At 48.6% G+C, this 23,931-nt stretch overlaps 1 protein-coding gene across 2 annotated transcripts, besides 6 other annotated features; it reads right to left on the reverse strand.

Annotated features, from left to right (window-relative positions):
- Positions 1 to 3,334: 3,334 nt before the first annotated feature.
- On the reverse strand, positions 3,335 to 13,125 carry LTO1 (LTO1 maturation factor of ABCE1). Of its 2 annotated transcripts, XM_006718470.4 has the most exons (6): positions 12,962 to 13,125; positions 10,988 to 11,093; positions 9,521 to 9,591; positions 5,667 to 5,784; positions 5,251 to 5,359; positions 3,335 to 4,181 (listed from the first exon to the last, which is right to left on the reverse strand). In XM_006718470.4, exons 1-5 carry the CDS (start codon positions 13,009 to 13,011, stop codon positions 5,291 to 5,293), a joined length of 414 nt encoding a protein of 137 aa, XP_006718533.1. In that variant the 5' UTR covers positions 13,012 to 13,125; the 3' UTR covers positions 3,335 to 4,181; positions 5,251 to 5,290. The 2 variants fall into 2 exon arrangements, with proteins under 2 accessions (XP_006718533.1, NP_703152.1); NM_153451.3 differs by having other exon boundaries at positions 3,335 to 5,359.
- Positions 12,707 to 12,796: a silencer, noted in NCBI's record as "silent region_3697". NCBI's record gives its function as "represses an Ori minimal core promoter by ATAC-STARR-seq in GM12878 lymphoblastoid cells {active_cell/tissue: GM12878}" and the evidence as "EXISTENCE:reporter gene assay evidence [ECO:0000049][PMID:35858748]".
- Positions 12,917 to 13,417: an enhancer, noted in NCBI's record as "H3K27ac hESC enhancer chr11:69489913-69490413 (GRCh37/hg19 assembly coordinates)". NCBI's record gives its function as "activates a minimal SCP1, AML or CMV promoter by ChIP-STARR-seq in primed H9 embryonic stem cells {active_cell/tissue: H9 hESC(primed)}" and the evidence as "EXISTENCE:reporter gene assay evidence [ECO:0000049][PMID:30033119]".
- Positions 12,917 to 13,486: a biological region, named in NCBI's record as "H3K27ac hESC enhancer GRCh37_chr11:69489913-69490413".
- Positions 13,287 to 13,486: an enhancer, noted in NCBI's record as "active region_5160". NCBI's record gives its function as "activates an Ori minimal core promoter by ATAC-STARR-seq in GM12878 lymphoblastoid cells {active_cell/tissue: GM12878}" and the evidence as "EXISTENCE:reporter gene assay evidence [ECO:0000049][PMID:35858748]".
- Positions 23,682 to 23,931: a silencer, noted in NCBI's record as "silent region_3698". NCBI's record gives its function as "represses an Ori minimal core promoter by ATAC-STARR-seq in GM12878 lymphoblastoid cells {active_cell/tissue: GM12878}" and the evidence as "EXISTENCE:reporter gene assay evidence [ECO:0000049][PMID:35858748]".
- Positions 23,704 to 23,874: a silencer, noted in NCBI's record as "fragment chr11:69500700-69500870 (GRCh37/hg19 assembly coordinates)". NCBI's record gives its function as "represses an EF-1alpha promoter that drives an FKBP-Casp9 reporter gene in an ReSE screen in HepG2 liver carcinoma cells {active_cell/tissue: HepG2}" and the evidence as "EXISTENCE:reporter gene assay evidence [ECO:0000049][PMID:32094911]".

Consider the following 23,931-nt stretch of genomic DNA (forward strand, 5'->3'; position numbering starts at 1 on the left):
TACTCTACATGTTCAGGTATCGCCTGAGATAAAGGCTTCCATCCCTGCAACCCAAGCCCAGCTGCTCTGGTAAAGGGTGCCAGAGAGACACAGCCAAGGCGTTATCCTGATGGGGGTGTCACCAAGGGGTAGACGCCAAGGCCTCGATGCCACCTGAGTTTACCAGCCGGGGAGAGTTAAGAAAAAGTGTATGCGCAAGGAGCGGCTTTCCTTCTTGGAAGTTAATCTGAGAGGTCCCAGCGGAACCCTTAGTCACGCTGGCTTGGACAACTCACTGAACCCTTGAGGCCTGGCTCCTCGCCTGCAGGCCCCGTGTCCTGTGAAGCACCAAACACAGTGACCCATTTTTCTCAGATCTTAAGAACTCTGTGACTTCAGTTTCCTGAGTCACAAACCAGTTCCTCATTTGATTCATTAAGGACCAGAATAACGGTGGGAATTAGGATAAGCTTGCGTGATCATGACACTTTTTGGTATCTCCAGATTACGTTGGCGTTTTCAGGTAGAGTGGGAGAGACTTCTCCGCGGTGTTGTGAGGCCAGATGAACGCTCGCAAAGCTCAGTACGAAGGTCATCTCCTCCTTTGCCCACCTTCTCATTCCCTCCCCTCCCCTGGGCTCCCAAAGTGCCAGAGGCGTCGCTAGGAGAGACCTGCTCACGGGGTCTGGGGCAGCTAAAGACCCATCCAGGCACTGCCTCTCCTACAGGCTGCCAGCATGGATCCTTTTCCATAAATTCATCTGCTTTTGCCTCAATCTGGCCTCAGTCTGCTAGATCAGGGGGTCCCCCATCCCCAGGCTGTGGACCGGCACCAGTCCATGACCAGTTAGGAACCGGGCCCCACAGCAGGAGGTGAGCAGCAGACAAGAGAAGATTACCGCCCGAGCTCCGCCTCCTGTTAGATCAGCAGCGGCATTCGATTCTCATAGGAGCGGGAACCCTATTGTGAATTGCACACGTGAGGGATGTAAGGTGCGTGCTCCTTACAAGAATCTAATGCCTGATGATCTGAGGTGGAACAGTTTCATCCCCAAACCATCCCCCACCACCAAGCCCTGTCCATGGAAAAACTGTCTTTCACAAAACCAGTCCCTGGTGTCAAAAAGGCTGGGGACTGCTGTGCCAGATGCAAGACTGGTCCTGAAGACAGGCTGCAAATTCCCAGAAAAACAAGCCTCTGCATTGACGAAGAAGACATGTCTAAAATAACGGCCTCAGGAAGCGAATCGTTCATGCAACCTGCTCAAGCCCTGCTGCGCCCCATCAAGCCTGAAGTTGGCCACTTACTGTGACCACTAGACTTGTTCTCAGCCGGGCCTCATATCTCTGCAAAGTGAGGGTGGTAGCCCTGCCTCCAGCACTGGTGGATAATCCTGGTAAAGGGCAGGCCACCAGCAGCCACTCAGCAAATAGGCCTCTTGTCCCTTCTTCCATATCTCATCATTCTTTTCTTGCCACTGGTTAGAGAAAAAAATGTCAAGGGGTGAATGTAAAATAAAGTGAAATGTGGTCGTGTTTTAGGACAGCAGTGTGGCCCTTGGGCAGTTCCCTTTGGCCATCCAGTGACTCTGAGAGGTGATTCCAAAGTGGAGAGTTCAGTGGAGGACTGACTACTCTTGCTTGTGCCTAGATGTTAACATTCTAGAAAAAACTAATTGAAATAACTTCAACTTTTACATGAAATGGCTTTCTCTTCTCCCGAGTCCCAATTCAGCAGTCTATCCAGCAGCCACAGCCAGGGTCCTGTGAGGGGCTGAACCGTGTCCCCACAAAACTTGTGTGGAAGCCTTAGCCCCCAGTGCCTCAGAATGTGACTGGAGAGTGAGGTCTTTAACAGGTAACTAAGTTCAGATGAGGCTGTAAGGGTGGGCCCAAATGCAATCTGACTGGGGTCCTTATAAGAGATGAGGACACACACAGTGGAAAGACGTAAGGACACGGGGGGAAGGTAGCTGTCTGCAAGGCAAGGAGAGAGGCCTCAGGAGGGAGCAGCCCTGTGACACCTTGATCTCGGACTCCAGCCTCCAGAACCGAGAGAAGATGGACCGCTGTTGAAGCCACCCATCAGTGGTGCTGTGGTGGCAGCCTGAGCTGAGACAGTGGCAGACGACACGCTGGGAGCTTCTGACAGGAAGGAAGGAGCAGGCCAGAGCCTTGGGAAACCAACCGCAAGGGATGCAATCCAACCCCAGGAGCTCCCAAACTCAAAGCCACTCTGGACAAAGGCTGATGTCTGGAACTAGCGGGACGGGATGGGCCTGGCAGGGATGGGGAAGACAGCAAGCAGACTTTGTCCGCAAACAGCGGACACCCAGGGCCACAGCCTTGCAGGACTGGGACGGGTAGCGCTCACAGGTGTGAGCAAGGTGGCTCAGGGCTGGTGGGAACAGCAAGCAGTGGCACCGAGGACGCAGGTTCTTCCTAGCTCTTCACTCTGCCAGGCTCAGGGGTGGCTTCAGCTGTAGCCAGCCTGCAAGATGCCTGGAGCAGTTCTAGCTGCCGCATCCCAACAGGATGATGTCCAAAATAGCACCAGCACCTTTTCTTTGGAATGACGTAACCTTTCCCAGAAGCCCCCGGAGGACCTTCTGCCAACTCATCTCCTTAACCCAGCAGACACAGCCATTCTAAGAGTGGGCCACTGTGCTGGGGACTGGTCGGACCCTCTACTAACACCTCATTAGCAGAAGAGGAGACACAGACATGCTCATTCCCAGTGTAAAAGCTGAGGATGGCGTTGCCTGGATACGACGGAAGCACCTGTTACAGTGGGCTCTGTCCATACTGCAATGTTGGCGGTGACCAAGGGCTCCCGGAAACTGGGTCTCGTCCTCTAGAAAGGGGCCAGGCAGGCGTAGGTCAGCAGAGTGTGTGAGAATCTTGAAGATGAGGAGGCAGCCCTGGCTCCCATGTGAGGCAAACCAGAGGAGGAAGTGGCAGTATGCTGCTCAGCCAGCTGTGCCAAAGAGGCAGAGAGGGAGTAGGGAGAGAGAACAGGAGACAGAGACGGGAGAAGAAAAAAGAGGAGAGGAAGGGAGAGAAGGTGGGGGACAGTGGGCATAGAGATGTCTCGGGGAGGGTGGATTAGTAATAGCTGCTGACAGGTGGCTGGGCCAGGTGAGCAGGAGCTGACCAGTCCCCAACACAATGGGAGCACTCTCGCAGTGGCTGTGTCTACGCTAGGTTAAGGAGACAAGCTGGCAGAAATCTAAGGCCCATGTCTTCCTTCATATCCAGATCCTAAATGCCCTGGAGGAAGAAATAAACTGGCTGGATGTTGTGTTATAAATGATGCCGTGTTATAAATGACGTTGTGTTATAAATGGTCCCAAACTTTCACTTTAAAATATGCTATTTACTTTTTTTACAGTTATAAAAATAATACATTATCAAAATAGACAACTTACAAAACACAAAAATCCACCAAGGGAAACACAGCAAAGGCCCCTGATCCCACCATCTAGAAAGAACGAGAGTCTTTCTGGCCCGAAGGCACCAGCTCTGATGAAGGCACAATGAGGAGATGCCAGCACAGACTTCCCCAGACCTGAGGTGACGCTACAAACGAGCGGTGCACAGCCACACACGCAGGTTTAGAGTTCGGGAGGAGGAGACCTAAGTCCTGTCTTCAAAAACAAAAAGCAGGCCGGGAGTGGTGGCTCATGCCTGCAATTCCAGCACTTTGGTAGGTGGACGTGGGTGGATCATTTCAGGCTGGGAGTTCAAGACCAGCCTGGCCAACAAGGCAAAACCCCATCTCTACTAAAAATACAAAAGTTACTTGGGCGTGGTGGGGGGCGCCTATAATCCCAGCTACTAGGGAGGCTGAGGCAGGAGAATCACTTGAATTCAGGAGGCGGAGGTTACAGTGAGCCGAGATCGCGCCAATACACTCCAAACTCGGCGACAGAGTGAGACTCCGTCTTAAAAGAAAAAACAAAACAAAAACAAAGCGAGCCACCGTGGAGATCCACCTGCCGCTGCTCCCGCGGGGGTCACTTCTCTGGCTCCTGCAGCCGGCAGCTTAGGCAGCACAACACAATCCACTAGGACATTCGGGAATGGTTTTAAAACCAAAGTGGATTCATGGCGACCCCTTAATAATCTCCTGGACTGCTTTCGGACATGCTTTCTGGAACAGGAGGGGTGTGGAGAGCCAGCGTGTGGGGACTTCGGTGACCCTGGGGGGGTACACAGGAGGGTGTGTGAACACGTGCCATCACATATGACCACCACTCGCCTCGTGGGGACCCACCGAACCATCCACTCTGCTCATCTGTGCCCACCCCACTGCCTCTGTATGACGCCTCGTAAGGACAGAGACAAAAGAGCTCCTAGGAGAGGGGAGAATGCAGGAGGCTATACGCATGGTTCTCAAAGCTTCTGCAAATATAACGGCGGCCTAACATTTGGTCTTTGGTTCAAAATATTTCCCCCCTTCACCATTTTTTAATGCTGCAAAGCTCATCGCCCCTCTAGGGACAGTGCAAAGGATATGTCTGGGTCCCCTCAGGATCAGGTTGGCCTTTCTTCCTCTCAGCCAGATGCCCAGGTAAACTGGCCACCACAGACTCCCCCGTGCTCCGTGAGGCTTGGCAGGACCTGTGCGGCCTGGGAGGGAGGGCAGGGACTCGCCTGTGCATTCCGGAGGCGGCTGTGCCTGGTGGCAGTGAGGCACAGCCTTAGGGCGGAAGTCCTAGCTCTGCTGCTGGGTGCCCTTAGACCAGGCAATCCCTTCGCGTCTCCCCTCCCTCCTCTGTAAAATGAGAATAACACCCATCTTGTGGGCTCCTGAAGGGATTAAATAACACACGGGAGGCACGTCCCGCACCGCCTGGCACACAATCGGCCTCGACATGCGGCACAGCACCCGTCCAAACCTCCCATGAGCCTCATTCGGGGCCAACCATCTCTCTCATTGCAAATAATAATAATAATAAAAATAACTGCCTTCAGTCCAGGCCTGGTGACTGACCCTATCCAGAGCCAACTCCAACCCAGAACCAGCTAGGCCTGTGCTGCCGGAGAGGCTGTCAAGTCAATGCACGAGGGCTCTGCCAGGGACGGCTTCAGCCCAACAAAGGGCATGTGTGGCGAGGCCCCAAGACGGGCACCAAGGTGACACAGGCAGAAAACCCCAGGGAAGGAAGCCCTCCCACGGCCGAACCGGAACCCTCACCCTCCCAATGAACAACTGCCTTCCCAGCACCGTCTGGCCCTTCACCGCATTTCTAAACACGTCACACACACATCTGTTCCTCGACGTTCGGTCTCTGTTCATCCATCCTCCTCAAAATGAAAGTCCGGAACCTTCTGCACTAATTTTAAAGTCTGGCTGAACATTGAGTAACGAACAAAACTGAAAACACAAAAGAGATGGTATTTTTAATCTTGTGCATTTTTACTGAAAAATGAGAAGATAACTCTATCTCTAGCTATAGCTTTTCCTGTCTATGTGGCCAGCCCATAAATGAGTTCTAACTCCTTTTCTCTGGACTGTCTTCAGTTTTCCTGCACTGCGACTCAAGGATGAGGCGCCTCTACGGACAGTTCCGCGGCGCACGCAGCCCCAGGCCATTGCCGCAGCGGCCCCGGGAGTGCGCTGCCCCGCCTGGGAAAGGCGCAATCAGGTGCTCCTAGCAGGAGGAAACACACAGTGCACGCACCTGTTTAAATTTTCCTCTGATCTTGTCTAAGTCTTCATGGAGTTTATCGTAAGTAGGGTCATCATAAGGGAATTTCTGGATCATTCCAATCAATGATTCTAAGACCTTCATCTTTCTGCTGTAAAGCACAGAAATACAGACTCTCAGTCATGTGCACACAACAGGCTCAACTTACACAACAGCTATGCTGCTGGCTTCCTGAAACCCAGCAGGTGCGCTAAGAATGCCTTCGTTCAAAAGCTGGATGATTATTTTCTCATTACACGAAATCATATTTATTTACCTAGCAACGAGCTTAGGCCCATACCCAGTGCCTCGACAGCAAGTGTGTGCCTAGCTTACAGACACGCCTCCATTCCGACCACGGGGCCAAGGGGCTGAGGCAGCCAGAAGCCCTGCTGACTCTCGAGGTCACACATGCAGAAACAGACAGAACTGGGCAAGAGGGACTGGGGCTGGGCACGAGCAGGCCTGCTCTGGGTCTGGGGATTTTCCAGGATCTGGATTCTTTGTGCTCAAAGCCTTCCAAAGTTCAGCTGCAGGTAAACCAGCAAACCCCTCCCTCCAAAGGCGGAAATCAGTACTGTCCCCTCCCCAGGGAGGAAACAGCTTTGCTGGGGAGGCAAGGAGGTTCTGCAGAAAGGCTGTGCACTCAGGAGACAGCAGCCCTGGGCATGACATCTCCCCAACACCTCTCTACCTGCTTTCAACCCTGCTGGCCTCATCTGTAAAATGGGGGGCATCCCAGCCTCCAGATGGTGAGAAATTAATTTCTGTTTTGTTTTTTTTTTTTTAATGGGGAGAGTAACAGCAACCTCACAGACTTTCAAGAGGATTAAATAACTGACATGGGCCGGGCTCGGTGGCTCACGCCTGTAATCCCAGCACTTTGGGAGGCCGAGGAGGGTGGATCACCTGAGGTCAGGAGTTCGAGACCAGCCTGACCAATATGGTGAAACCCTGTCTCCACTAAAAATACAAAAATTAGATGGGCGTGATAGTGTGTGCCTGTAGTCCCAGCTACTCGGGAGGCTGAGACAGGAGAATTGCTGGAACCTGGGAGGTGGAGGTTGCAGTGAGCTAAGATTGTGCCACTGCACTCCAGCCTAGGGGACAGAGTGAGAATCCGTCTCAAAAAAAAAAAAAAAAAAAATTGACATGAAGCTTGGACTCCAGCACAGAGTAGGTGCTCAATAAATGTTAGTCTCTTGGTCTCTTGGTTTCCTCTGGATCCTAGAGATCAGGGCTCTCACCTGCAGGGGTTTAAAAATAATCCACACATGTGTACATCTCGTGGGGCCAGGTCTTTTCAATGAACCACAGGTGGTCCTGAGAAGCATGCTGCCTCTATGCCGCATTGGACCATGTGAGTGGCCAGAGTAGGCAAGATACTCGATTAACGGGCATTTTAAAGAACTGACAGTTAGGATGAATCAACAGCAATTCAAAGCAACCAAGACCTCCTGTGTACTTGCAAACAGCTGGTGCTCCTGGATACAGAGAAGAGCAAGTTTGCCAGCAGCATCCAGTTTACAAGAGCTAACCATGGCTACCTCTCTGAGAAAATACAAAACTGTGAAAGGTCAAAGCAAGTCAGTTTTAGCAACAAAGCACCTGGTTTCCAGGGAAACCAAAGGGAGATGCCAAAACGTGGGAGGTGGCTGTATGCTAACCCGATGCAGAGGACCACGCACTTTCCACTTGGCAAGCGGTTACTTTTCTGGTCAGCGATGCTGCTCAGACACACCCAGCCGGGCGCACCATCAGAGGCGGCACACGTCAGGCAGGTGTGAGCAGCTCAGGGCTAATGAAAGAAAAGTGATGGTGCCAGAGCCCCCGTGCTCAGCCCCGGTGCGCGCTGGTCTGCAGGAGGGTTTCACCAGACTGCTGAAGCCGGGGACAGAAGTGTCACGCAGTTTACCGGAAAGCTAGTTACTCAACGGAAAGCACCATCTTTTGGCCTGAGATGCCGCTCTCCGTGGTTTCTTTGGTGTTACAATGCCCAGCATTTTGCTGAATGACAATGCGGTGGCAGGTGTTTTTCTCTTAACATCCTTATTTGGAAAAATTTACAGGTAAAACATGCAATATCAGCCCTTCACCATTTAAAAAAAAACAAAAAACAAAAAAAAAAACCTGACATGTAAGATCTAAACATCCATGAACCACTGCTCTACAATAAAGCCTTAGGTTCCAAAGAGACCTCTGGGTACTACTGGATGGGATGAGGGCGGCTGCGAGGGGGGTCTGGCAGGGCTTCCACCAGCCCCTCGTCAACCAAAGCGGTTCTTCTCTGTTAGCTAGACTGAGTGTGCTGCTTTCAGACGTCAGCAAACCCCTGCTCTGGGGTAAGGGCTGGCAACCTCCTGGGATGGGACCACTGGCACACAGCGGAGCACTTCTCCAGGAGCCGGCAGATTCTGCCGCTGTGGGAGAAGGGAGACAGGCGGAGAACTCCAAGAACACACATCCTTTTGTGGCCTGGAGTTGAGAGCCAGGCTCAGCTTTGACTGCCACCTAGTGGTAGCACAGGCTGCCAACAGCGATTCCCCTGGGATCCCCAGCTGCCGGCCGCTGCCTGAGAACCAGGAGGAAAATGTCCTCAAGTGCCCCTCTGCTAACCCAGAATCCCATCGACTCCCAACTGCTGGTACAAACGGAGCAGAAAGAACTACCCGTATCAGTTGCAAGCATCCTCATTCTTAAACATTTGAATATTCAAGATATTCAAGGTATTTCTAGAAATTCAAGATATTTCAAATAAAAGCACAAGTCACGTAGTCAGGGAGAGAGTTACCCACTCTCCTTGTGCCCCTCCCACGCTAGGCAAGGCCACCAGGTGTCAGAATGACGCAGAGCACCAGCTCAGGTCCCGCGCTTGCTGCTGCCCATGAACAGCAGAGTATCCAAACCATCTCAAGGGTTCATTTCCAGCTTCAGAATGAAGATAGATAAAGCAGGGTCACATGGGGCTTCAGTAAGTACAATGCAGGAAGAAGAGTTTTTGTTTGTTTGTTTGTTTTTGAGAAGGAGTTTTGCTCTGTCGCCCAGGCTGGAGCGCAGTGGCATTATCTCAGCTCACTGCAACCTCTGCCTCCTGGGTTCAGGCAATTCTTCAACCTCAGCCTCCCGAGTAGCTGGCACTACAGACACATGGCACCACGCCCGGCTAATTTTTGTATTTTTAGTAGAGACAGGGTTTCACCATATTGGCCAGGCTGGTCTCGAACTCTTGATCTCGTGATCTGCCCGCCTCGGCCTCCCAAAGTGCTGGGATTATAGGAGTGAGCCACTGCGCCCGGCCGAGAAGAGTTTTTAAAGGCTAAAAACAATTCAAATGACAGCTAACACTTACTGAGTGTTGACAAGTTCCAGAAAGGAGTTAAACACATTTAAAGGCATTTTCTTGTTAACAGACTTAGTTGGCTACATTAAAAAACTGATGACACTGGTGTCCTCATCTCTGAGCCCAAGTGATACAAAACTGTTATAATTTGTTTATTAGAAGCTCAGGGGAAAGGTGAATGAGAAAATACAATCAATGTCAACATTATTTTATTGGTAGGGTATCTAAAAGCCACATGGTGCACTAATGACTCCAGGTAAAAGGCAGGAGCATAGAACTCTTGAGAAGCAACAACAGCCAGTGTTCACCAAACACCTAAAATGTGCCTGGCACTTTCTATTTAGTATTTCCGTTAAATCTCCTAACAACACTCAAGCTTGACACTGATAATTTTCTCCATTTTACAGATGAGGAACAGACAGATTGATTACTCAAGGGCATGCTGGTAACCCATGGAACTAGAACTCCTGGTTCCTACGCTGAGAAAGAAAGACATCTCCACCTTTACCTGTCCTTCTCAGTGGTGCAACTGTGCAGTAGACATTTCCATGCAAAAGCAAAACCTTGGTAGCACCCGATCTGTGAATGTGAAAAATATTTAAGAGTGAAATTAATAAGCAACTAGCTACACTTTCATTACCAAGATCTCAAAACAAAAGGTGGGGGCAGAAGGCAGCGGTGCTTCTCACACTATTGTTCTGGAAGCACCTGTTGAGCATTAGGCAATGGAAATTAGGAAATTAGGTCATCGGTGGGGCAGCCAGCCTCCCAGATGCCCCAGTCCTCATCTCCTGGTACCCATGCCCTGTGCAGGTCCCTCGACACTCCACCAGGGTGGCTTTCGTAACCAACAGAATGTGGAGGAACAGCACAAAGCTCCTGAGTCTAGGGATAAAAGCCAGTGTCACTTGCCTCACCAGCTCTCTTGGACCACTCGCTCTTGAATGTCACGAGGACACACAAGCAGCCCCATGGAGACGTCCATGCCCACAGTCAGGTGACAGCACCACCTTGGAGGCAGATCCTCCAAGCCCAGTCAAGCCTTCAGGTGACACGGCTCTGGCTGACACCCTGAGCCAGGACCACCCAGCAAAGCTGCTCCTGAGTTCCCAACCCTCAGAAACATGTGAGATCATCCATATTTGCTGTGTTAAGCCCATGAATTTTGTGGTGATCTGTTTCACAGCATCGAACATCCAATATAGTCATAACTGCCTCAACTCAGACTTTGCCACTAAGGGCCACTTATCTGTAAGGGCCAATCTAGGACAAAGGGCAAGAAGAGAAAAAAAAAAATCATAAAGTTAATGAAATTTCAACGTAAACATAAATGGAATATGTTCACATGACAGAGGGCACCCATTCTTTGGCTTAGTACATGAGCCAGCACCATGACACTCCCAAGTAAACTAAGGAGACCAGGGACTTGTTTTCTTTTATCCAGCATGCATAATTTAATTGTATCTACCTACAGCAAAATGCACTCTTGGTTCTGTACTAAGAATATTTCTCCAGCAACAGTCCATCTAGTCCATTAACTCCCATGCAAAGGCACTGTGATTTTTTTTGTTTATTTTTTGGAGATGGAGTTTCATCCTGTCGCCCAGGCTGCAGTGCAATGGCACGGTCCCGGCTTACCACAACCTCTGCCTCCCAGGTTCAAGCGAGTCTCATACCTCAGCCTCCCAAGTGGCTGGGATTACAGGCATGCACCACCATGCCCAGCTAATTCAGTATTTTTAGTAGAGACAGGGTTTCACCATGTTGGTCAGGCTGGTCTCCAACTCCTGACCTCAAGGCGATCCACCCACCTCAGACTCCCAAAGTGCTGGGATTACAGGTGTGAGTCACCGCGCCCATCCGGCACTGTGATTTTAAAAGGCCTGACAATTCTTACTCCATCACACTGAATATCGAAATAAATTATAAATTGTAAATGAAGAGGCTTCATCTCCAGATGGGGGTTCCCACTTACCTCAGACCCGATTTTGGCTCCATGCAGCGTGCCATGCTGCCTTCCCTCCATCACACCCAAACTACTGCCTTCTTCATAGCCTTCCCGATACCCTTCCCCATGAAACCTGTGAAGAAGAAGCATGCTTCATCAAATCAACAGGAGAAAGAATACTTTCTCCAGAAAAACTTCTCTCTCTTGTATTACCCGGACCCAGTAAGACAAACCAGAGTAAAGGAGGAAAAGCCTAAAATTCAAGTCAGAAGACACAGATTCCAGTCCCAGATCTACCACTTCCTATTTGCCTCTGGAAGTCACTGTACCTCTTGTAGCCCAGTTTCTTCATCTACAACAAAGGGCTAAATTAGGGATTCCCAAACCTGATAGGGTACTAGAAACACACAAGGAAAATTCAAAGATATTAACTCAAAAGCCTCACCCCCAGAGATTCAGTACGTCTGGAGCAAGGCCCTGGAATCTACTTTTCTTTCTTCCTTTTTTTTTTTTTTTTTTTTGAGACAGGGTCTCTGTTGCCCTGCCTGGAGTGCAGTGGTATGATCACAGCTCACTATAGCCTCAAACTCCTGGGCTCAAGCGATCCTCCAGCTTTGGCCGCTCCAAGTGTTGGGATTACAAGTGAGGGCCACCGCACCTGGCCTGCAATCCACTTTTCTTTTCTTGAGATGGAGTCTCGCTTTGTCGCCCAGGCTGGAGTGCAGTGGTGCGATCTCGGCTCACTGCAAGCTCTGCTTCCCGGGTTCACGCTCTCCTGCCTCAGCCTCCCAAGTAGCTGAGACTACAGGCGCCCACCACCACATCCGGCTAATTTTTTGTATTTTTAGTAGAGACGGGGTTTCACCATGTTAGCTAGGATGGTCTGGATCTCCTGACCTCGTGATCCGCCCGCCTCGGCCTCCCAAAGTGCTGGGATTACAGGCGTCAGCCACCGCATCTGGCCCGGAATCTACTTTTCAAAGTCTCCTAGATAAGTCTGGTTTGCAGCCAGAGTTAGGGGGCCAAAGTTCTGTGAGTGTTCAAGTAGCACTAGCCCAAGTCAACCGCTTCCAAAAAACTGCAACATACACAGGGTTTGACATCACATGGGTAGGGCAACAGAGAGAAATGGCATCAGATCACCACAAAATGTTCTCCGACTGGTACCCGGAGTAGCACTGACCCTGAGGCCCAACAGTGGAACTGCCACTATCTTAACCTGCAGTCACCAAACATGCAAGGAGTGGGCTGCAGCGCCCCATGAAGCAGGGTGCATAGCTCCCCACTTAATAGTTGTGTGACCCTGGAAAGTGACTGTGCCTCCTAGTCTGTAAATTCCGAAGAATAATAGGATCCACTTACTAAGTAGGGCTGAAGTAGATAACCAGGGTGGAACGTTTAGCTCAGTGTCTGACTCACAGCGCGAGCTAAATAAACGTCAGCGCCTGACTGCTAAATGTTCGGCCGCTTTCTTAACTAACATCTATGGACGCGTCCTCTGGGCCGGGCACTGGAAGTCAGCCAGGAGGCAACTCACAGCTCCCCCACTGTCGCAGCACGAGGGGCTCCCCAGGGGCTCTGGAGGGAAAAGGGGTGTGGTCGGGTACATCTATCAGCACATCCATGAATACTGCCGTATGTCCTATGATTAAGGAACCAGAAAAAAAGGCAGCTCCCAGATGGCAAAGGTCTGTCCTCCCAGAGGACGAGGCGGCCTCGGAGGAGGGGAACCACCAGGCTGAGCAGATGTTTGGGGCAGCCCTGACAGGGAAGGCGGGTCTGGAAGAGCAGCTGGGCACGTGCCCCGCCGGAGCGGGCCAGGAGAAGAGGACCAGAGCATCAGGCCCACACTTGTCCCTGCGTCCACGGCCACCAGGCGCTCCCCAATGCGCACGCCCAAGGGACGCCAGGCTCCAGCAGCCGCCCTGGGCCGCAGCCGGCGGCGAAGCCGCTGGGAGACGACCAGACAGGGCGGGGTGCGGGCCCGGCCTCACCACCCACCTCTCATCCGCCATCACGATGGCATCGAATATGTCCTGACTGCCAGCCATAGCGGCAAGCAGCCCGCCCTTGGCCCCCGGGTTTCTGCAGCCCCGCGGTGCCGTAGCAGACCCGGCAGCTTCAGGCACAAATGCTCCGCTTGGGAGGAGACGAGACCCACTTCCGGAAGCGGCGGCGCGGGGCAGGCCGGGTAAGAACGGCACGCGGGAGGGCCCAAAGCAGCCTGTACATGGCGCATGCGCGGCTGCAGCGGTGGGCGGGGCCGGCCTCGACTGAAGCCCCGCCCTGGGGTCCTTTCGCCCTGCCCAGCTCCAGCAAAGGGCCTGTCTGTCCGCGCTGGGAGCGTCCATTGGCCGCGCGCGTGGAGAGCCGACCTGTATTTTACCACTGCAGATAGAACCGAATTTCCCAAAGTGGCTCCGAAAGAACCAAGGAAGAAATGGGAAGTCATCAGCTGGCGCGGTGGCTCACGCCTGTCATCCCAGCACTTTGGGAGGCCGAGGCGCGCGGATCACCTGAGTTCGGGAGTTCGAGACCAGCCTGGCCAACATGGTGAAACCTCGTCTTTACTGAAAATACAAAAATTAGCCGGGCATGGTGGCAGGCGCCTGTAATCCCAGCTACTCGGGAGGCTGAGGCAGGAGAATCACTGGAAGCTGGGAGGCGGAGGTTGCAGTGAGCCGAGATCGCACCACTGCACTCCAGACTGGCGACAGAGCCAGACTCCGTCAAAAAAAAAAAAAAAAAGGGAAAAGAAATGGGAAGTCATCAAAGAACCGACGCCTCAGGAGGCTCCAGGCCAGGAGGCTCTGCATGTGGGATTTTGGGCAGAAATTTGTCGGTTTTAGTTCTCATATTTGTCATTTCCATGAGATGTGCTTTCTGAACACGATTTTTAAAAAGGGATTTCAAAGTCTAAGCGACAACGGAACTCAGATGAGAAACACCAGAAGCATTCCTAATAAAGTCAGTAGTAAAACCTCACGTGACCACTGAACATCTTTCTACCAGCCCTGGCCAATGCAGTAAAACATGAAGCAAGAAGTGGAAATACCAAAAAAAAAAAAAAAAAAAAAAAAAGGCAGAAATACTACTATTTGCAGATATGATGGCCCACGTGGAAAACCCAAATAGTCACCTAAGACGTTCTCAGAATCCATAATCGCAGCAAGTAGCTATGTGTATGATGAATAGGGAAAAAAACACTTTCTGTTATTCCAACAATAATTGGTAGTAACCTGAGCAGGGGTGGTGATGGGAAAATCGCCTTATGATAGTCATAATACATTTCTTAGAAATAAGAATTTCTAACAATTTGAGCAGGACCCATATAAGGAAAACTACAGCTCTACCATGATTGAGGATTGGGGAACTGAACAAGTGCAGTACCAAAGAAAATTCCATGAGATCTGGTAAAATGTGTCAAAATCCTAAACTTTTTCATCCGTATGAATAAACTAATAAAAATAACTAAGATGTTTTAGAAAAAAATGATTTTCATATCAGATATGAAAAGATAAAGTGTCAATATAAATATTGTGGTATGTTGGTTCAAGAAGTGGCAGACCAGTGAAATAAAGTAAATGGCCCAGACAATGGACTCTCATAGATGTAAAGCCTTCTCATGTGGTAAAAAGAAGAATTACAAATTAATTGGAGAAAGGAAATATTAACTAATAACTATAATGGAAAATTGGTTGTTTGGGAAAAGCTTGGTTCCATTTATGCCTCACACCATTCATCAAAATAATTCCAGATGAGTTAAAGAGTTAACTTAAAAAAATTAAGCACATTGGCTGGGCACGGTGGCTCACGCCTGTAATCCCAGCACTTTGGGAGGCCCAGGCAGGTGGATAACCAGAGTTAGGGAGTTCGAGACCAGCCTGACCAACATGGAGAAACCCCGTCTGTACTAAAACTACAAAATTAGCCTGGCGTGGTGGTGCATGCCTGTAAGCCCAGCTACTCGGGAGGCTGAGGCAGGAGAACCCAGGAGACAGAGGTTGCAGTGAGCCGAGATCACACCATTGCACCCCAGCCTGGGCAACAAGAGCAAAACTCCATCTCTAAATAAATAAATGAATAAAGCACATTTTGCCTGTAATCCCAGCACTTTGGGAGGCCGAGGCGGGCGGATCATGAGGTCAGGAGATCGAGACCATCCTGGCTAACATGGTGAAACCCCGTCTCTACCAAAAAATACAAAAAAAAAAAATTAGTGGGGCATGGTGACGTGTACCTGTAGTCCCAGCTACTTGGGAGGCTGAGGCAGGAGAATGGCATGAACCTGGGAAGTGGAGCTTGCAATGAGCCGAGATCGCGCTACTCTACTCCAGCCTGGGTGACAGAGCGAGACTCTATCTCAAAAAAAATAAAATAAAATAAAAATAAATAAATAAATAAATAAAATAAAGTACATTAAAAAATCTAGGTGGAACATTCAGACAAGTATGAAGATGCTCTTTTAACACATAAAAGCCATGAAGGAATTCTCAGCAAGCAAAACCAACATTTTACCATGTAAAAATGCAAACTTGTGTGTACCAAAAGTGATAAGAAACAAAATTTAAAGTTAAAGAACAATATGGGGAAATATTTGTCATAAATATTGTAACTAAAGAAATAATAATTCTGGTAAAGAGTTTATTTAAATACATGTATTTATTTAAATAAATACATCCTAACGGGGAAAAAAAAGGACTTGAAACATTATTCACAGAAAGAGCAACAGCTGGCCAATCAGGAAAAGCAGACGCAGCCTCACTAGTAACCAAAGCAATGCTGAGAAAGAATAATGAGATGCATTTTTTATCTTTTAAAATAGCTTAAGTTCTTTTTCTCCTTTTTTAGAATTAAAAGATACTCTTAATGAGCACAAGTGCATACATTGAAGACACCTCTTGGTCAGGCAGTTCAAAAACATAGGAAGGGCATTATATATATATATATTTTGTTTGTTTGTTTGTTTGTTTGTTTGTTTGTTTTTACTAGCTAGGCGTGGTGGGTCACGCCTGTAATCCCAGCACTTTGGGAAGTCAAGGTGGGTGGATCACCTGAGGTCACCAGTTCCAGATCAGCCTGGCCAAACAGTGAAACTTCGTCTCTACTAAAAACAAAAATTAGCCGGGTGTGGTGGCACGCTCCTGTAGTCCCAGCTATTCTAGAGGCTGAGGCAGGAGAATTGCTTGAACCTGGGAGGTGGAGGTTGCAGTGAGCCGAGATTGTGCCACTGCACTCCAGACTGGGCGACAGAATGAGACTCTGCCTCAAAAATAGAATAAAAAAGTTTTTTTTTGCCCCTGGACCTAGTCATTTCACTTCTAAGACTTCATCTCTAGGAAATAATCAAAGACAAGTCAAAATATTATGTACAGTGTTGTTCAGTGCAACACGATTTGTAAAAGGCAAGGCAAGGAAAGCAGCTACATTGACAAAATGGTGGAATTATGACATGTATTGTAGGCTATTCATGTTGAAGACTCCTAAGCAACCATTACAAATAATATTTCAACAAAAGTAACATCATGGAAAATGCCCATGATATTTCAAGAAAAAGAAAAAAAAATCCTCTATGTGAGGCTGCAGTGAGCTATGACCATACCACTCCACTGCAGCCAGGCCAGGGCAACAGAGTGAAATCTCATCTCAAAAACATAAAAAGAAAGAAAAAGAAAAAGAAAAAAAAACACTCTACATATACTCGAATTGCAATCACACTAAACACTATTTCAAAAGAATGAGAGTAGCCAGGTGAGGTGACTCACACGTATAATCCAACACTTTGGGAGGCCAAGGTGGAAAGATTGCTTGAACCCAGAGTTCAAGACCAAGCTAGGTAACATAGTGAGACTTCATCTCTACAAAAAAATAGAAAAAATTAGCCAGGCACGGTAGTGTGCTCCTGTAGTCCCAGCTACTTGGGAGGCTAAGGCGAGAGGATTGCTTGTTCTCAGGAAATTGAGGCTGCAGTAAACCGTGATCGTGCCACTGCACTCCAGCCTGGGCAACAGAACGAGACCCTATCTCAAACAAAACAAACAAACAAACAAACAAACAAAAAACCAGAAAAGAAAAAAGGAAGAGAAAAAAGAGTGAAAGCAAGTACAGCAAAATGTTCATAGAGAATATAGCTAGATTTTGGAATGACAGTGATTTTTTTAATGTCCTCATTTATATTTTTTGGAACATCTCATGTTTGTTTGCACAATGAACATAAGTTATGTTATAAGCATAAAAAAATGTTTTTGGTGGATGAAATTAAATAGACTTCGTATTATTTTGTTCTGAAGATGTCTTTAATTTTTAGGTTTTTTAAATAAGCAAATGAAATCACACAACACTTGGAATATAGGAAAAAGGGAAAGACAGCAAGCCAAAAAAAACAGTTCACCCTGTCCACCAACTGATTTTTGCTAATTTTATTATTTTTCCCTTGAATTTTCATATAAACATAATTTAATATATAAACAATGTAATATCCTTCTCCCTGCCCACTTAACATTAGATTACAAACACCTCCCAAATAAGGGAACTGTTCTCTTATCAGTACATATTTAAAACACATTTTTGAGCATAAATTTCATTAGCTGAAATAAAATAAAATAAATATATCTTTTGGATAGGAAAATAGATAACGCGGTGAGAAAAATAAATGACCACTTACAGAATAAAGCCCGTGGACATGGAGGCTTATACAGAAGAGCGTAGGTTTTAATTTCTAACTTCAAAAATATTTGCAAAGCCTTGAACAATTATATGTGCTACAAAAATCAACACTATTGATACAAATTATTAATCTGAAATAAAGCTTTGGGGAGATTTTCTGTCCCCAATCATCAATTTGTTCATCTGGTTTGTTCTTAAAATATTTATTTTGAAGCCAGACTGTCTTAGCATTAAAGACAAAGAAGGGCCGGGTGTGGTGGCTCACGCCTGTAATCCCAGCACTTTAGGAGGCCGAGGTGGGTGGATCATCTGAGGTCAGGAGTTCAAAACCAACCTGGCCAACATGGTGAAACCCTGTCTCTACTAAAAATACAAAATTATCTGGGCATGGTGGCTCATGCCTGTAATCCCAGCTAGTTAGGAGGCTGAGGCAGGAGAATTGCTTGAACCTGGGAGGTGGAGGTTGTAGTGAGCCAAAATCGTGCCATTGCACTCCAGCCTGGGCATCAAGAGTGAAACTCTGTCTCAAATAAAAAATAAATAAATAAAATAAAAAATAAAGGCAAAGAGCCTGATTCCATTATCCTGGATTTCCAATAGTTTATTTACAAATTGCTTTATTTTCAAATAAGGACCAGATTGTTAAAGCAGGGCCTTTGGGGCTGCATGCAGTGGCACACTCTTGTAATCCCAGCACTTTGGGAAGCCGAGGCAGGAGGATTGCTTGAGGCTAGGAATTTGAAACCAGCCTGGGCAACATAGTGAGACCCCGTCTCTACAAAACATTTAAAAATTAGCTGGGTATGGTGGCTCACACCTGCAGTCTTAGCTACTTGGGAGGCTGAGGCTTCATTGAGCTATGATTGTGCCACTGCTCTTTAGCCTGAGCAACAAAGGGGAGATGCTGTTTAAAAACACATGCACACACACACACACACCCCGACACACACCGACACACACACAGACACACACACATGCACACACGACACACACACCAACACACACACATGCACACACAGACACACACACTGACACACACAGACACACACCGACCCACACACATGCACACACAGACACACACATGCATACACAGACACACACAAACAGACATACATGCACACACAGACACACACAGAGACACACACACTGACACACACATGCACACACACATGCCTTTGAAAGTAGAAAAAGTTTTAAAGTTCAAATATTTACGTCAACATCCTTAAATAAGTTGCAAATTTTATGTTTTAGCAACTGAACACATAAAAAGCATAGGAAGAATCTGAATTAATATCCCCCCTTGGCTGGGCGTGGTGGCTCACTAATTGTATTTATTTCAGTGGTTTCAAAACACTATTAGTAAATATTTAACTTATAACAAAAGGTATAAAGGAGATAATATAATCACCTCCCAGGAATCTACCACATTAAGAAAAAAAGCATTTTTAAAATAGAAATGTTGGCCGGGCACGGTGGCTCATGCCTATAATCCCAGCACTTTGGGAGGCCAAGACGGGTGGATCACCGGAGGTCAGGAGTTCGAGACCAGCCTGGCCAACATGGTGAAACTCCGTCTCTCCTAAAAATACAAAAATTACCCAGGCATGGTGGTGGGCGCCTGTAATCCCAGCTACTTGGGAGGCTGAGGCAGGAGGATCGCTTGAACCCAGGAGGTGGAGGTTGCAGTGAGCCAAGACTTCGCCATTGCACTCTAGCCTGAGCAACAAAAGCAAAACTCTGTCTCAAAAAAATAAATAAATAAGTAAACAAAGTATAAATATTGCTTACATTCTTGTGAGAGTTCAAAGAAAAACCAGGTCAATATAACTAAAGTGAAAAACAAGTTCATCGAAGTTTAATACTAAACAGTGTTTACTTACCAGAATACTTTTTTTTAAATTTTATATTTAAATTTTTAGCCTGTAGTCCCATGCTCCAAAAAAAAAAAATGAGGACATTAAAAAAATTACGACAATTCCAAAATCTATTTGGTGGACTTCTTCTAGCAGCAAAATACTAAGTAGTTTTCAAACCAAACCAAACCAAACCTGACAATATAGATCTATAGTTGTTAACCTGGAAACACATCCATTTTATTAGAAAAAAAAAAGTTAAAAACAAAATATCATTTGTTCTTATTTTGGTTCAAGAAAAAGGCCCTCGAGCATAGCAACAGGTTTTTATCTATGTAGAGAATAATCTGCAAGGACCACAACCCCTGATGTTGCAGTGGTCACGTTTGGGTGATGGATTATGTGTCATCTTAATTATTTTCCTTTGTATGTTTCTGTATTTTGTGATTTGGGTTTATTTTTTTTACAGCATGAAGCTGCTGGATGTGGTGGCTCATGCCTGTAATCCCAGCACCTTGGGAGGAGGCCGAGGCGAGTGGATCACCTGAGGTCAAGAGTTTGAGACCAGCCTGGCCAACATGGTGAAACCCATGTTTTTGTCTCTACAAAAAATACAAAACTTAGCCAGGCGTTGTGGCATGCGCCTGTAGTCCCAGCTACTCAGGAGACTGACTTGGGAGGATCACTTGTGCCCAGGAGGTCCAGGCTGCAGTGAGTCACGATCATGTCACTGCACTCCAGCCTGGGTGACAGAGCAAGACCCTGTTTCAAAAAAAAAGCATGAAGCAAGTGCGGCTTTCACAGTCCAGAAGAAAAAGAAGCAGTTTTAAATTCTGAAAAGGAAGTCATTAAATGACAGTTCACTTCAAGGAACTAAAGTTTCATCTCATGCTCTATTCATCATAAATAAATAACACATTCGGAAAAGGAGGCAAGTTGCAGGCAGGCCTCAAATCCAAGTTTGACCCCATGGGGTAGGCAGGAGGAGGAGAATGCGAGGCTTGAGTTACACTCGATCTTTCCAGCTGCGCCTCCTCTCTGCTCCTTCTCTAATAGGTGTGCTTGGGTTTGGGAGCCTGTCAAATGCCATTTTCTACCTGCTTCCCTGGTGGCCCTAGCGCAGGAGACCTGGGTTGGGGTGGAGGTCTGGTGCTGTGAGCAGTAACTGAGAACAGGGCTCCTCTGGGCACCCACCTGCCTGCGGAAGGGCTCTGGCCAGCAGGGCTCAGCCTCTGCCCATCCCTAAGGCTCCCAGGGGAGTCTTCTTCAGGCTTCTAGAGAAGAGATAACATTTTGGGAAAGTGACACAAAGATGTGGCAACAGTACCTGTATTGGGAGCGGACTGAAAGTCTGAGAGGAGGCCTACTTTTCACTGTCTAACTTGCATTAGTCAGGTTAGGCCAGGCTGTGCTGCAATAAGAAATAAGCCCTGACATCTCAGTGGCTTAACCAGGAAGGGCTATTTCCCACTTCCACGAAGTCCACTATGGGTGGGGCAGCTCTCCTCCACCTTGCAGGAACCAAGGCCCCCTCATTGCCCCAGCAGGGGAAGAGACAGAGGAAGCAGGCTAGCTCCTAGCTGCCTTGTCCCAGGAGAACACTTTATTTCCATTCCATTGACCAGAACCAGTCCCAAGGCCCTAACCAAACTGTAGGGGAGCCTGGGAAATGGAGATGAGCCCACGGACGTTTGGTCAACTCTGTCTCTGCCACAATGCTTTAATGCTGTTAGGATTTTATTTTGAACCCTGTAAATATGTGGCTTCTCCAATGTAAAAAGAAAGAAGGGAGAGTTGTTATCTAATGTGTATATTATATATTATGTTATATATTCTATGTATGTAACAGGTGGAATATATCAGTCACCTCTCCTCACCCAGTTGAACAAAATGCAAAACACAATAGATGCTGTCAAAGAGATATGTCATATCCACATTTTACTGGAAATAATAATTTCTCCAAAATTGTGGTTCCTGAAGTAAATAAAGATTTAAAATAAATGATGAAAGTTTGAATCTTAGCAGATACCGAAAGTGTAGATCTTACTTTGCACAGGGTGTAGCACATAACAGGTGCTCAGTAAATGGTTGCTGAGTGAATAAGTGAGAATGTAGTGTGGCAGTGGGAGGAGAAGGCCCCTCTGAGCCATGGGAGGGGGACAGGCCATGTTTGCTGTGGTGTTTGCCCATGGCTTTTGGGTCATCTCAGTAGAGAGGGTGCCTGGATAAACAGTTTTCTTTCCAGAGCTCAAAGACCGTTTACCAAAACTGGGCCCAGCCCCTTAGGGCTAGCTGTATTTCCCTGTTTGTGTCGAGGAAAGGGGGAATGAGGGATCCAACCTGGGCTTGGGCTGCCACCTGCTGGATGCAGTGGCTCATGCCTGTAATCCCAGCACCTTGGGAGGCCGAGGCAGGTGGATCACCTGAGGTCAAGAGTTTGAGACCAGCCTGGCCAGCATGGCGAAACCCTGGAGAGGGAAGTGAGGCAGCCGAGGACGCATAGTGGCTACCGGGGACCCAGCCCTGCCATGGCCTGAGGCATTGTCCCTCTAGGTGGGAGCGTGTAGGACTCATGCACCCCCCCGGGAGGCTCCAAGAGAGTCCCCCATTTGACCTACACCCCTTATTTCTTAGAAGGCCCTAGCGCGGCTGGGCGTGATGGCTCACACCTGTAATCCCAGCACTTTGGGAGGCCGAGGCGGGTGGATCACCTGAGGTCAGGAGTTCAAGACCTGCCTGGGGCCAACATGGTGAAACTCCGTCTCTACTAAAAATACAAAAATTAGCTGGGTGTGGTGGCGGGTGCTTGTAGTCCCAGCTACTCAGGAGGTTGAGGCAGGAGGATCAGTTGAACCCAGGAGGCGGAGGTTGCAGTGAGCCAAGATTGTGCCATTGCACTCCAGCCTGGGCAACAGAGCGAGAGTCTTAAAAAAAAAAAAAAAAAAAAAAAAAAAGAAGAAGAAGAAGAAGAAGAAAGAAGGCCCTAGCAAGAAGAAGAAGAAAGAAAGCCCTAGCCCTGGGGCTCCAGTGTCCGTCTTCGAAGGGCTGTGGCCTTCATCCGGCCTCCCCTTCATCCGGCCTCAAGCTCCTCCCTGGCTTTTCCTCTCCTCTGCCCTCCACCTCCCGAGGCTCATCCCCGCAGCCTGGGGGAGCTTCCTCCTTTCCGCCCTTGGTGGAGCAGAAATTCTTGCTGGGCTCCTTCCCCCGCACCGGGAGAGCTGTGAGGAGTGGCCTTGCTGTTTCCATCTTCTTTCTTCTGCACTGACCGTTCCCCCTTCCCAACTGGACAGCAGCATCCCAGAGGCAGGACGGTGGCTCCTTCTAAACCTTGGTGCCCCCAGCTATGCCCAGTATGGGGTCTCTGGCATGAAGTCCGGTGCAATAAAGGGTGAGCAGTTCTCCTTACCCGCCTTCCCATGTCCACCTCTGGTCAGTGGGCTGTGCTGGTCCAGGAAGCCAGGGATTTTTGGCTTCTGAGATGCAGTCTCCACCACTCCACATGTTTTTTTTGGTTTTTGGTTTGTTTTAAGACAGAGTCGCGTTCTGTCGCCCAGGCTGGAAGGCAGTGGCACGATCACGGCTTACTGCAACCTCTGCCTCCTAGGCTCAAGCGATCCTCCCACCTCAGCCTCCCAAGTATCTGGGACTACAGGTGCATGCCACCACACCTGGATAATTTTTATATTTTTTGGTAAAGATGGGGTTTCGAATTCCTGGGCTCAAGTGATCCACCCACCTTGGCCTCCCAAAGTGCTAGGGCTACAGGCGTGAGCCACTGTGCCCTGCCAAATTCCAAACGTTTCTTGACAGCGTTAGTGAAATTCACGTTCCTGCACCTCAGTTTGCTCATCTGTAAAATGGGAGTGATGTTGGTACCCCGTTTTCAGGATCGACATGAGGATGAATACTTGCATATAGGAAACAGAAGAAATGTATTGATAGATAAATATAGTGAACATAAATTCGAATACAGGAACAGGAAGTTGTGGAGGTGATGGAGCCTGCCTCTCCCTTGCCCTTTGCTGAGGTCCAGGCACACACAGTAGGGGCTTTGTTGATGTTTGTGTGTAGCCGATGTTCTTTTGCTTCCTGGGGGCTTGTCTGCAAAAGTTGCAGGGGGCAGGGTGGAGGGCAGCTAGTCAACCATCAGATCAGACTGCGGGAGGGGCGAGCGTGAGCGAGCAGCTGCTGGGTGCTCTCAGGGCAACCTCGCGGCTTCCGAGTCCCCGGCCCCGCGCGGGTAAAGGGGCACCGAAGGCACCTTGCAGACCGCGCCCTGCACTCCCTGACCCTCGGCCTTGCGCGGGGCCCATTCCAGTCACCGCCACCGGGGGCCGCCATTGCGCCGCGGACGGCCCCGCTCCTCCGGGGAGCCGCAGAGCCGCCTCCCTCCCGGGCCCTCTCTTCGCCGCTCTGGGACGGTGTCCCTGCGGCCGCTAGAATTCTCTTCTG

The sequence above is a fragment of the Homo sapiens genome, chromosome 11 (assembly GCF_000001405.40).
Source record: "Homo sapiens chromosome 11, GRCh38.p14 Primary Assembly".
Classification (NCBI taxonomy): domain Eukaryota; kingdom Metazoa; phylum Chordata; class Mammalia; order Primates; family Hominidae; genus Homo; species Homo sapiens.